General features: G+C 47.5%; 1 protein-coding gene across 1 annotated transcript in view; it reads right to left on the minus strand.

Annotated features, from left to right (window-relative positions):
* Positions 1 to 13997, minus strand: part of DHRSX (dehydrogenase/reductase X-linked) — a 281471-nt gene that overhangs the window by 12427 nt on the left and 255047 nt on the right. Inside the window, exon 6 of the mRNA NM_145177.3 lies at positions 11091 to 11298. Coding sequence (NP_660160.2) covers positions 11091 to 11298 — 208 coding nt within the window. The remainder of the gene's footprint in view (positions 1 to 11090; positions 11299 to 13997) is intronic.

Raw genomic sequence — 13997 nt, forward strand, 5'->3', positions numbered from 1 at the left:
TTCCTCTTCTCTCCTCCTTCTCTTTTCTTTCTGCCCTTCTTTCCTTTTCTCTATTCCTCCCTTTTTCCTCCTCCTTCATCTTCTCCTCCTTCTTCCTTCTCCTCCTTTTTCTCTTTCTATCCCTCTGTCTTCCTCCTTTTATTTTTTCTCCTTTTCCTCATCTTCCTTTTTCTCTCTCTCCCTTCCCTTCCTCCTCTTCCCCTTCCTCTTTCTCCTCCTCTCTCTCTGCCCCCTCTATTATCAATTTACAGTATAATCCAGCTTTTCCTAAAAAAAAACTAGACAACCTTCACACTACACCCTTCTGTTTCTAAAAGTCTTCCTCTGAATCGAAATCACTCTTGTTCACTTGTGTGAGGCTGGGGGATTCCTGAATGAACTTGTATCCACTTGTTTTGAAAACAACAACAACTAAAGCAACAGAACTTCCTTTAGGATTCATATAGAGCATTCATATGGAATTACCGAGAACTATCTTCTTTTGTCCACAGCCCCAAAGCTGGGGCTCAATCCCCTGCAGTCCTGGGGTCTGGGGTCCTCACGCTTAGCACTCAAGAGAATGGGCCAGAGAGCTTGTAAAAACAACTGCACCCCTGGTATTTCTAACTCAGTGGATCTTAGGAGGCCCAAGAATCAGCATTTTTTTTTATTTTTTATTATTTATTTATTTATTTGAGATGCCAGGGCTGGAGTGCAGTGGCATGATCTTGGCTCACTGCAACCTCCGCCTCCCAAGTTCAAGCAATTCTCCTGCCTCAGCCTCCCGAGTAGCTGGGATTACAGGTGCCTGCCACTACATCCAGCTAATTTTTTGTATTTTTAGTAGAGACAGGATTTCACCATGTTGGCCAGGCTGGTCTCGAACTCCTGACCTCATGATTCGCCCATGTCAGCCTCCAAAAGTGCTGAGATTACAGGCATGAGCCATCGTGCCCGACCCAAGAATCTGCATTTCTAACGAGCTCCCAGAGGCTGCTGGTCTCAGAGACCACGCTGGGAACCTCACTCATTCTAGCTTCTTATGCAGCTCTGCAAACTATACACCATGGGCAAAATTCAGCCTGTACCTGTTTCTGTACAGGCTACTAGCTAAGAATGGTTTTATACTCTTAAAGTGTTGTTAAGAAAAAGAAAGAAAGAAAGAAAGAAAGAAATATGCCAAAGAGACTAGAGGTGGCCCACGAAGACTAAGACACTTCCTATCTGGCCGACCTCCTGTGTAGAGCAAGGAACTGTGGCTTCGCGGCAGAATTTCATTATCTGCCGCTGTGCAGCTGTGGCTGACAGACGCTGTCTTCCACACATTCTCGGAATGATGAAGTGGGCTTGCTTGGTGACGCCTTGTGCAGGGAAATGAAAGTTGTCTTCTGAATACACAAGACGGTCCTGTAAATCATGCTCCCTGTGGCTTAAATAACACATCCTGTTTTATCTACAGCTTTTTTTTTTTTTTAAATGACAATCTTTAGAGACTGGCAAGAGGACAGAAGATGTATAAATGTGAACCCAAATCCAAGAACGCAGTGTGTTCCCTTTTAACAGACACAAGAGCATCTTTGAAGTTCCAGACGCCCGGCTGGGGGGCGCTGGGGAGACGGTGCAGCACCATTTATGGTAAAATCTGCATCAAGCCACTCTTGAGTCCTGGAGAGTGTTGGAGCTGCAAGCTACAGAAACCATTTCAACTTCATTCAGTCCAATGAATGTTTATTAAATGCTCACCCGTATTTTGCCAGCTCTTGGGGCAAAGGAAGAGAATTTCAGAAATAACCCCTGCTGCCCAGGAGCTTCCAATAGACATGGGCAGTGGGTGGATGGTGAGGCACAAGTGCAGGAAAAAAAAAAGATGAAACACACACAAAATAGAAGATAGAGTTTCAAGTGTACTAAATAGAGCCACAAGCAATATAGTCAGAGAGAGGAATGAATGGCTCATAATTACATAATTACACAGAGCTTTACAGTGGAGAAAATGGTTTCCCATATATTCTGTCGGCAATGTTCACAACACTCTTATGTGATATTATTATCCAGAATTAACAAATTAGAAAAATGAGAGGCATAGCAGGGAAGGAGAGGAGAAGGGAGCTGTTGCAGGAAATAGCCACTGCCTGATTCTTCCAGGGACCCCTCCCTCGTCATCTCCCTTCTTTCTCTGCTTTGCTATCATGAGCCCTGATCCATGCACACAGCTGGATCCATGCACATGCATTCAATATCTCCCTCCCTGCCTTCACCCATGCACACAGCCCTGATCCATGCACACAGCTGGCTCCATACACATGCATTCTGCAGCTGCCTCCCTGCCTGCATCCATGCACACAGCCCTGATCCACGCACACAGCTGGCTCCATGCATGTGCATTCAATATCTCCCTCCCTGCCTTCACCCATGCACACAGCCCTGATCCATGCACATGCATTCAATATTTCCCTCCCTGCCTTCATCCATGCACACAGCCCTGATCCATGCACACAGCCCAGATCCATGCACACAGCTAGACCCACACACACACATTCAGTACCTCCTTCCCTGCCTTCCAGGCACAGAGCCCTGATCCACGCACACAGCTGTTTTAGGTTTTTTGCAGTAGTATTCAGAACAGCAAAGATATGCAATCAACCTAAGTGTCTGTCAGCAGAGGACTGGCTAATATAAAGAAAGTACAGTATAGTATATACACACCATGGAATATTATGCAGTCATATCAAAGAATGAAATCATGTCTTTTGCAGTGACATGGACAAACACTGCACGTTTCCACTTTTTATTTTATTATTTTACTTTTTATTTTTTGAGACGGAGTCTCACTCTGTTGCCCAGGCTGGAGTGCAGTGGCACGATCCCGGCTTACTGCAGTCTCTACCTCCCATGTTCAAGCGATTCTCCTGCCTCAGCTTCCCGAGTAGCTGGGACTACAGGCGTGTGCCACCATGCTGAGCTAATTTTTGTATTTTTAGTAGAGACGGGGTTTCACCATATTGGTCAGGCTGGTCTTGAACTCATGACCTCAGGTGATCCACCCGCCTCAGCCTCCCAAAGTGCTGGGATTACAGGCATGATCCACCATGCCCAGCCTGTTTCCACTTTCTAAGGTCCCTAGAGTCATCAGATTCATCAAGACAGAAGGCAGAATGGTGTTGCTAGGAGCTAGGAACAGCAGGGAAATTGGAAGTTGTATTTTAATGGAAACAGAGCTTCAGTTTGAAAAGCAGGCCGTTCTCCTAACAAACAACTCAGATACTGAAAGTCAAACACTGATCCTGCCATGTTCTCACTTGCAAGTGGGAGTTCACCAGTGGGTCTACACAGACACAGAGGGTGGATTGACGATGAGGACCCTGAAAGGTGGGAGGTTGGCAGGAGGTGGAGGATGAAAAAAATCACCTACAGGTATAGTATTCACAGCTGGGGTGAGGGGTTCACTAGAAGCCGGGACTTCACCGCTGTGCAATGTCTCCATGCAAGAAATCCGCACCTGTACTCCTTAAATTTATAATAAATAAGTGAATCAATAAATACATAAGCCGGGCTGGGTACGGTGGCTCACACCTGTCATCCCAGCACTCTGGGAGGCCGAGGCCGGCGGATCACAAGGTCAAGAGATCAAGACCATCCCGGCCAACATGGTGAAACCCCACCTCTATTAAAAATATAAAAATTAGCTGGGTGTGGTGAGACATGCCTATAATCCCAGCTACTCGGGAGGCTGAGGCAGGAGAATGGCTTGAACCCGGGAGGCAGGTGTTGCAGTGAGCCAAAATCATGCCACTACACTCCAGCCTGGGCAACAGAGCATCTCAGGGGAAAAAAAAAAAAAAAAGGGAACAAAAAAAGAAATCCGCACCTGTACTCTTTAAATTTATAATAAATAAGCAAATCAATAAATACATAAGCCAGGACGGGTGCGGTGGCTCACACCTGTCATCCCAGCACTTTGGGAGACCGAGGCGGGCGGATCACGAGGTCAAGAGATCAAGACCATCCCGGCCAACATGGTGAAACCCCATCTCTATTAAAAATATAAAAATTAGCTGGGTGTGGTGGGACATGCCTATAATCCCAGCTACTCGGGAGGCTGAGGCAGGAGAATCGCTTGAACCTGGGACGCAGGGGTTGCAGTGAGCTGAGATCGCGCCATTGTACTCCAGCCTGGGTGACAGGGTGAGACTCCGTCTCAAAGAAAAAAAATAAATAAATAAAATAAATAAATCCGCACCTGTACTCCTTAAATTTATAATAAATAAGTGAATCGATAAATACATAAGCCAATTGGTGAGATGACCCATAAAGACAAACAAAGCTTTGTGAGGGGAAAGCAAGCGCCCAGGAGAAGCCCTGTCTTCGGAGGTTTTGGCGCAGGCCTGAATGAAGGGAAGGAGAGGGATTGGATACCTGGGGGAAGGGCGTGCGTGGAGGAGGAAACAGCCAGGGCTGAGGCCTGCACATTGCAGGGAAAGGGTGAAGTCCCTGGTGGCTCTACCTGGAGCAATTTCTTCTTATTTTTTCTTTTTTTGAGATGGAGTTTCACTCTTGTCACCCAGGCTGGAGTGCAGTGGCGCGATCTCGGCTCACTGCAACCTCCTGCTCCCGGGTTCAAGCGATTCTCCTGCCTCAGCCTCCCGAGTAGCTGGGATTACAGGCGTCCGCCACCATGCCTGGCTAATTTCTGTATTTTTAGTAGAGACGGGGTTTCACCACGTTGGCCAGGCTGGTCTCGAACTCCTGGCCTCATGTGATCCACCCGCCTCAGCCTCCCAAAGTGCTGGGATGACAGGTGTGAGCCACTGCGCCCGGCCACCTGGAGCATTTTCAGTGGAGCATGGGGGACTGGAAGTGAATTGTATGAGCAATTCCTGTATGGGGATTTGCTGCAGCGGAGACTGTAGTCAGGGACAGTCCCCAGGGGAAATAGAAGGTCCAGAGAGGGTGGTTAGATTTGTTTATTAATAAAAAAAAAAAAAGAAATGGGGGGGCTGGGTAGGGTGTCTCATGCCTGTAATCCCAGCACTTCGGCAGGCCGAGGCAGGCGGCTCACTCGAGACTGTGAGTTCGAGATCAGCCTGAGTAACATATCGAAACCCCGTCTCTACTGAAAATGTAAAAATTAGCCAGGCGTGCTGGGAGGTAGCTGAGGTCCCAGCTACCCAGGAGGATGAGGCCGAATTGCTTGAACCCAGGAGGCGGAGGTTGCAGTGAGCCGAGATCGCACCACTGCACTCCAGCCTGGGCAACAGAGAGAGGTTCCATCTTAAAAAAAATAAAAATAAAAAAATTCCCAGTACCTGCATCCTTGATTTGATTAATTAACCTGTCACCCTCTCGGCACATCAATCCAAGTTCCAATCAACCCTAAGACAGACTTTCATTAGACTGCATGGCGGATACAAATACATGCTTAAGACAAGCAATGATACGAGTGGTCTACTTCATGGTGAAGTGGGCGCAGTCTACACTGCAAATTTGTTCATTTTGATGGCAGGCCTGATCACATGATTTCAAAGTGGTCAGGACTTGCTGGACATGAGCCCTGAATGGTGGAGCTGATACACTCAGCATTTACAATAGCTTTCTATTTTTTTTTTTTTTTGAGATGGAGTTTCGCTCTTGTCGTCCAGGCTGGAGTGCAGTGGCATGATCTGGGCTCACCACAATTTCCGCCCCCGGGTTCAAGCGATTCTCCTGCCTCAGCCTCCTGAGTAGCTGGGATTACAGGTGACTGCCACCACGCCTGGCTAATTTCTGTATTTTTAGTAGAGACTGGGTTTCTCCATGTTGGTTAGGCTGGTCTTGAACTCCTAACCTCACATGATCCTCCCCCTCAGCCTCCCAAAGTGTTGGGATTACAGGCATGAGCCACCACTCCCAGCCGATAGCTCTTTTTTGTAACACCCATTGATCTTGAGACAACTGGGGTGGGAAGAGAGGTAATAGCCACGTTCATTTGCTCCCTAGGAGGGGTATACATTGTAGGGGGTACTGAGTTTCACTGATGAAGCTGCGAGGAGCTTCCTAGAGGTCTGAAGAGCACACATGCCCTCTGAAATACTAAGCTACTCTCCTACGGAGGCTGAGACCATCTGCATGTCTCAGCATGAAGAATGGCCTGATGCATTTGTATACAGGACAAATCAAACCTCTCATCTTTATAAATGCACAAATCATAATCCCAACACTTTGGGAGGCCACAGCAGGAGGATCGCTTGGGGCTAGGAACTGGAGACCCGGCTGGACAACATAGCAAGACCTCGGCTCTACCAAAAAATTTTAAAAAATTAGCCAGGCATGCTGGTGCATTCGTGTAGTCCCAGCTACTCGGGAGGTGGAGGTGGGGTGATCGTTTCAGTCCAGCAGGTCGAGGCTGCTGTGAGCTGTGATTGTACCACTGCACTCCAGCCTGGGTGACAGGGCGAGACCCCATCTCAAAAACAAACCAATCAACCTCCTAGTTTTTCTTCTGGTACCGACTGGTCGCCCAGGTTACTGGCCGTGAATTTGGAATCGAGTCCATGTGTTCTGATGAGACAGAGGATAGAGGTTTCAGAGTGACATACAACCATGCCCTCAGATGATATGAAACATCACAGAGATATGTATGTCACACAGATTCTCCCCAGGGACCCTGGACAGATCCTGCAAGGTTTTTCTTCTTTCTTTTTTTTTTTTTTGAGACGGAGTTTCACTCTTTTCACCCAGGCTGGAGTGCAATGGCGCCATCTCGGCTTACTGCAACCTCCGCCTCCCAGGTTCAAGCGATTCCCCTGCCTCAGCCTCCCGAGTAGCTGGAATGACACACACGCGCCACCACACTCGGCTAATTTTTTTTTTTTTTAATAGAGATGGTGTTTCACCATGTTTGACAGTCTGGTCTCGAACTCCTGACCTCAAGTAATCCACTCACCTTGGCCTCCCAAAGTGCTGGGATTACAGGCATGAGACACGGCACCCAGCTGATCTTCCAAGTCTTAATATACAATGCATGCATGCATGCATGCATACACACTAGTAAATAATACATACACAGCAATACAGAATTATCATTACAAAGACAGCATCAAGCTACTGCAGCTGTATAGCCTTTTCTTTAAAATTCTTACATTATTTTAATTTCATTTCCAGGCTAATGCATATTCTTCTGCTCTATAATTTTAAAGTTTCCACAATGTTGTCTCTTATATAAAGGCAGTATCACTCGAGCAATGCCCCGTGGTTATTTTTAATCCAAATTTGCAGATGATGATCAAAGGATTAAAGAATGATTCATGTGGCTAAAGTTGCAGTTTGCTTGTTAAATATTTAGAAAGAAATAATGTCAAGGCCAGCCATGGTGGCTCATGCCTGTCATCCCAGCACTTTGGGAGGCAGAGGTGGGAGAATCACTTGAGGCCAGGATTTCAAGGTTGCAGCCAGTGATTGTGTCATAATTCCAGCGCACAAGACCAACCTGGGCGAACAGCAAGATGCCGTTTCTACAAAAAAAAAAAAAAATGCACAGCAGCCAGGGTGACAGAGCAAGACCTGGTCTCTAAAAAATTTAAAAGAGGCCGGGCGTGGTGGCTCACGCCTGTAATCCCAACACTTTGAGAGGCCGAGGCAGGTGGATCACGAGGTCAGGAGATCAAGACCATCCTGGCCAACATGGTGAAACCCCGTCTCTACTAAAAAAAAATAAAAAATAAAAAAAAAATTAGCCAGACGTGGTGGCGGGCACCTGTGGTCCCATTTACTCGGGAGGCTGAGGCAGGAGAACGGCATGAACCTGGGAGGCGGAGCTTGCAGTGAGCTGAGATCGCGCCAACGCACTCCAGCCTGGGCAACAGAGCAAGACTCAGTCTCAAAAAAAATAAATAAATTAAATAAAATAAAAAAACAGCAAATGCTCTCCTTGGATACTGAAGTCACTCTCTGAGGGATTCATGGGGGTTTTATAAGGATGAAATGTATCCTAGTGTTGGTGTATTGCTAGCGAATACTTAGTGCTTAATAAAATAACTAATATTTTGAAATTCCTTTGCTTGAGGAATTAGAGATGTGAAGAACAACAGATCAGAAAGCAAACTGCAAAATAAGGGATGTACAGCTGGGCGCGGTGGCTCACGCCTGTAATCCCATCACTTAGGAAGGCCGAGGTGGGCGGATCACCCGAAGTCAGGAGTTCGAGACCAGCCTGGGCAACATAATGAAACCCCGTCCCTACTAAAAACACAACACTTAGCCAGGCTTGATGGCAGGTGCCTGCAGTCCCAGCTACTCAGGAGGCTGAGGCAGGAGAATCACTTGAACCCAGGAGGCGGAGGTTGCAGTGAGCTGAGATCGCGCCAGTGCACTGCAGCCTGGTGACAGAGCGAGACTCTATCTCAAAAAAAAAAAGAAAAAGAAAAAGAAAAAAAGAAATTCCTTTGCTTGAGGAATGAGAGATTCGAAGAACAACTGATAAGAAAGCAAACTGCAAAATAAGGGAAGTAATTAATCCCCTCAAAAAGTCCACATTGGGGGCGGGCAGCTCATATCATGAGAGACTTTCAGACGAAATCAAGAGCAATGCCAGGAGTCCAACAGGGAGAAAAGAGAATTTGTAACCAAGCTCATTAATTCCAAAGCTTGATGAAACAGACAATTACCTAAAGGGAAAAGCTGTCTAAACTGACTCAGAAAGAGGTGGGAAACTTCAACAAGCAGTAGACGCCCAAGGAATTTTGAAAGCTGAGTTAGAATCGCTCTTCCGAAAATTCCTCAACCCATGCGGTTTTGAAGGTGAATCGTGGCGGTGTTTCAAAAGCAGACACTTTTAAAAATGCTAATTAGACGATTCTGCAATGTAAAGGGAGAAATAGAAAAGCTTCTCAAGGTTCTTTCTTTGTTTTGTAAACAAATTATTAAAACTTTAGTATCCCGACTTGAGATAGATAGGAAAGAAAGTAAATCTATAGCTCCCAGATACATATCACTTCAAAAGACCTCAAGGAGGACAGGCACGGTGGCTCACTACTGTATCCCAGCACTTCGGGAGACCGAGGCGGGCAGATTACTTGAGGTAGGTCAGGAGTTCGAGACCAGCTTGGCCAACATGGTGAAACCCTGTCTTTACTAAAAATACAAAAACTAGCCGGGCATGGTGGCGCACACCTGCAATCCCAGCTACTCAGGAGGCTGAGGCAGGAGAATCACTTGAACCCGGGAGGCAGAGGCTGCAGCGAGCCGAGATCACACCACGGCACTCCAGCCTGGTGATAGAGCTAGACTCCATCTCAAACAAACAAACAAAAAAACCCAAGGGAATGGCTGGGGCATGAAATCTTGCAGTGCTTAAGAAGTTAATGCATCACGACAACGAAGATCATTGCAGAAATGTGGGAGCTTTCAGCTGCTGGGTCTTAAAAACCAACACCCCAAAGTACGGTGCTTTGTCCTGCTGAACTGAAGAAGCCTCAAGATCTCTCTAACTTCCCCCTCCTGCTTCCTCTGTGTCTCCCGATGCACAGGATGAAGTTGTTCTCTGAAGTTTCCTGAAGTCTGGACATGTCAAAGAAGGAAAAATGACCAGTGTCCCCTTCCCTGAGTTTCTGAACCCACATCGCGGAGGAAAGACTGATGTCTGTCAACAGCCCTGCAGAGACTCCTCATAAACCACTGTCTGTTCTGAGGGTTCCACAGCCTCTGTCCCTGCAGAGACTCGTCATAAACCATTATCTGAGGCCAGGCGCAGTGGCTCACACCTATCATCCCAGCACTTTGGGAGCCCGAGGCGGGTGGATCACCTGAGGTCCAGAGTTCGTGACCAGCCTGGTCAGCGTGATGAAACCCCGTCTCTACTAAAAATACAAAATTAGCCAGGCGTGGTGTCACATGCCTGTAATCCCAGCTACTCGGGAAGCTGAGGCAGGAGAATCGCTTGAACCCAGGAGGCAGAGGTTGCACTGGGCAGAGGTCCCGCCACTGCACTCCACTCTGGGCAACACAGAACGAAACTCCGTCTCAAAAAAAACAAGCAAACAAACAACAATAACAAAAAACATTATCTGTTTTCGGGCCACTGTACATTGTTCAAACCCATTGACTTCTCTTTAAAATCATTTACTATTTGGAATCCTATATTCACCCCCAATTCCCCACTCCCCTTCCGCTAAGAAGAAGAGGACACAAGCGTCTGTACCCCTTTGTGTAATGGGGCAATTCCTCTGACATTCTCCTCCATGGATGAGAATACATTTGCCTGTCATTTCCTTTATTCATGTTTCAAAAAGGGCAATTGTATTTTGTGCGTTGATTTTTCAGCAAACCTTCAAATGGCAAAGGGGGATGTTTTTCCCTTGGCCCCTACCACAGCATCCCCAAACGGTCTCCAGCTCCTAAGAAGATTCATTTATGGGCACTACCTAGCTACACAGCGTCACCCACCGAGCTCGCACACAACCAAGGCTTTGGGGTGAGAATGTACAAATACATCACGGAATCCAAGCCCCCAACACCGCACACGCAGCCTGGAAGTGGTTGTGTCAGAGCTGTGTGAACCAGCGTGACTCCATCTTGAATAGGGGCTGGGTAACACGAGGCTGAGACCTGCTGGGCTGCATTCCCAGGCGGTTAAGGTATGCTAAGTCGCAGGATGAGATAAGAGGTTGCTACAAGGTACAGGTCATAAAAACCTTGCTGATACAACAGCTTGCAGTAAAGAAGCGGGCCAAAACCCACAAAAAGCAAAATGGCGACAAGAGTGACCTCCGGCTGTCGTGACGGCTACATTCCCACCAGCGCCAGGACAGTTACAAATGCCACGGCAATGTCAGGAAGTTACCCTCTACGGTCTAAAAAGGGGAGGCATGAATAATCCCCCCCTCGTTTAGCATATCATCAAGAAATCACCGTAAAAATGGCCAACCAGCGGCCGCCGGGGATGCTTTGTCTGCGGAGGAGCCATTCATTTACTCCTCTACCTTCTCAATAACTTGCTTCTCTTTCCACCACTGAGCCGTCCTGAATTCTTTCTTGCACGAGATCCAAGAACCCTCCCTTGGGGTCTGGACTGGGGACCCCCTTTCCTGTAGCATCTTCAGGTGCAGCCGTGAATCAGAGAAGCAGAAGGGGCTTACCTTGAAAAGCAACCAGCCGAGAAGCTTCTTCGCCAGACGGGTGGCCCAGAACACGTGCTTGTAGACGTCCGTGTTGACCACCCCGGGGTCCACCACGTTGGCGGTCACGTGGCTTCCCTCAGCCGCCAGCAGCCGCTGGAGGTGGTAGGTGAACAGGACAAGGGCCAGCTTGCTCTGGGCGTAGGCTGCGTGGGGTGAGTAGCAGGCACTGTGGGGCAAGCAGGAGAAGGTGTAAGAGGCTGACGGCGTTCACGCCTAAGTGCTTCATCCCAGCAGCATCTGTACCTGCGGCCACGGCCACGTCTATACGCAGCCACCTCCCCTAGACCCATGTGTGATCATGCCATCTGTTGGCCAGTTTTCCAACGCGTGTGGATTTTTCTAGTTCACCTTTTTATTATAAACTCATCCCTTAATTGTATTGGGGTCAGATATGTTAAATTATGTTACTAATTTTTTATTTATTTATTTATTTATTTTGGAGACAGAGTCCCCCCTCTGTCGCCCAGGCTGGAGTGCAGTGGTGCAATCTTGGCTCACTGCAACCTCCACCTGCCCGGTTCAAGTGATTCTCCTACCTCAGCCTCCCCAGTAGCTGGGACTACAGGTGCCCGCCACCACACCCTGCTAATTTTTTGTATTTTCAGCAAAGATGGAAGTTTTACCATGTTGGCCAGGCTGCTCTCGAACTCCTGACCTCAAATTATCCACCCGCTTCAGCCTCCCAAAGTGCTGGGATTACAGGCAGGAGCCACTATGCTCCCTGTTTTTTTTTTTTTTTTTTTTTTTTTTTTTTTTTTGAGACAGATTCTCACTCTGTCACCCAGGCTGCAGCCTCCCGGGTTCAAGCGAATCTCGTGCCTCAGCCTCCAGAGTAGCTGGGATTACAGGCTCCTGTCACCACGCCCGGCTAATTTTTTGTATTTTTAGTGGGAACAGGGTTTCACCATGTTGGCCAGGCTGGTCTTGAACTCCTGACCTCGGGTGATCCACCCTCCTTGGCCTCCCAAAGTGCTGGGATGACAGGCATGAGCCACCGCGCCTGGCCACATGTGGTCTTCTTGATGAGTCTCAAATCATAAAAGACAACCACACAAGCAATTTGGCAAACTTCCCAAGCTATCATAAATTTTCCTCACATCTACTGCAAGCTCTGTAGTGTGCTAAGCACATGTTAAACTCTTTGCACCTTGGTTCAAGCAGTTTAGAGAAATGTTTTAGTATCACAGGACATAGTGATAAAAATCGATCCGATAACCGCGGTAAAGTGAGTAACGTGCCTCTCTCTCTCTCTCTGGTAACCTCAATCACCAGAAACACAGAAAACTGGATGTTTCCAGCTTTGCTCCTGTAAATATGTTCTACTTTTTCTATGTATGCCTTAGAAACACTTTTTAAAGAGATGTTATTTGCGGTGTTACATAACGTCCCTTGAAGGCACACAACCACCATAGACTCCTTTTAGAATTTAATGCTAGGCACAGATCATTAGCCTTAGAATTGGCCTCATAGTTCTTTTCAATAAGACAAGGAGAAGTATTTGAGCAATAATGTTTTTCTTTCCTCTGGGGCTCCAAAGATGCCCAGAGGCGATCAATTTGCTACACAATTATCGTAACAACATTTCAAGGTGGCTGAAGGTTCATATCGCTTGCTTCTTTTATATATATATATATTTTTAAATTTTATTTTTATTTATTTATTTTTGAGACAGAGTCTTGCTCTGTCAACCCAGCTGGAGTACAGTGGCGTGATCTCGGCTCACTGCAAGCTCCTCCTCTCGGGTTCAAGTCATTCTCCTGCCTCAGCCTCCCAAGTAGCTGGGACTATAGGCGCCTGCCACCTGCCTGGCTAATTTTTTGTATTTTTAGTAGAGACGAGGTTTCACCATGTTAGCTAGGATGGTCTCGATCTCCTGACCACGTGATCTGCCCACCTCGGCCTCCCAAAGTGCTGGGATTACAGGCATGAGCCACTGTGCCCGGCCTAATTTTCTGAATTAACCACATGGTATATGTATCCTGATGGAAGCTGTGAACAGAAAATATCTGGGCACCCCAAAAGCGGGAAGCTCAAAGGAAAAGTCCAGCTGGAACCTGCTGAAGGCAAACCTGCCTCCCACTCTGTTCAAAGTCACCCCTGTGCTCACTGAGATAGATGCATATCTGATCACCTCCTTTGGGAAGGCTCATCACAAACCCAAAAGAATGTAACCATCTGTGTCTCACCTACCTGTGAGCTGGAAGCCCCCTCCCTGCTTCCAGTTGTCCCTGCTTTTCAAGGACTATACTTCTTATTTTTTTGAGACAGAGTTTTGCTCATATTGCCCAGGCTGGAGTGCAGTGGCACAATCTTGGCTCACTGCAACCTCTACCTCCTGGGTTCAAGCCATTCTCCTGCCTCAGCCTCCCGAGTAGCTGGGATTACCAGCGCCCGCCACCACGCCCGGCTAATTTTTTGTATTTTTAGTAGACATGGGGTTTCACCATGTTGGCCAGGCTGGTCTCGAACTCCTGACCTCAGGTGATCCGCCTGCCTCGGCCTCCCAAAGTGCTGGGATTACAGGCGTGAGCCACCGCACCCACCCCAACGTAGCTCTTACATATATTGATTGATGTCTCCTGTCTCCCTAAAATGTATAAAACCAAGCTATGGCCAGACGCAGTGGCTCATGCCTGTAATCTCAGCACTTTGGGAGGCCAAGGCGGGCGGATCACAAGGTCAGGAGTTTGAGACCAGGCTGGCCAACATGGTGAAACCCTGTCTCTACTAAAAAAAAAAATTAAAAAATTAGCCAGGCATGGTGGCATGTGCCTGTAGTCCCAGCTACTCCGGAGGCTGAGGCAGGATAATTGCTTGAACCTGGGAGGCAAAGGGTGCAGTGAGCTGAGATTGTACCACTGCACT

The sequence above is a fragment of the Homo sapiens genome, chromosome X (genome assembly GCF_000001405.40).
Source record: "Homo sapiens chromosome X, GRCh38.p14 Primary Assembly".
NCBI classification, from domain to species: Eukaryota; Metazoa; Chordata; class Mammalia; order Primates; family Hominidae; genus Homo; species Homo sapiens.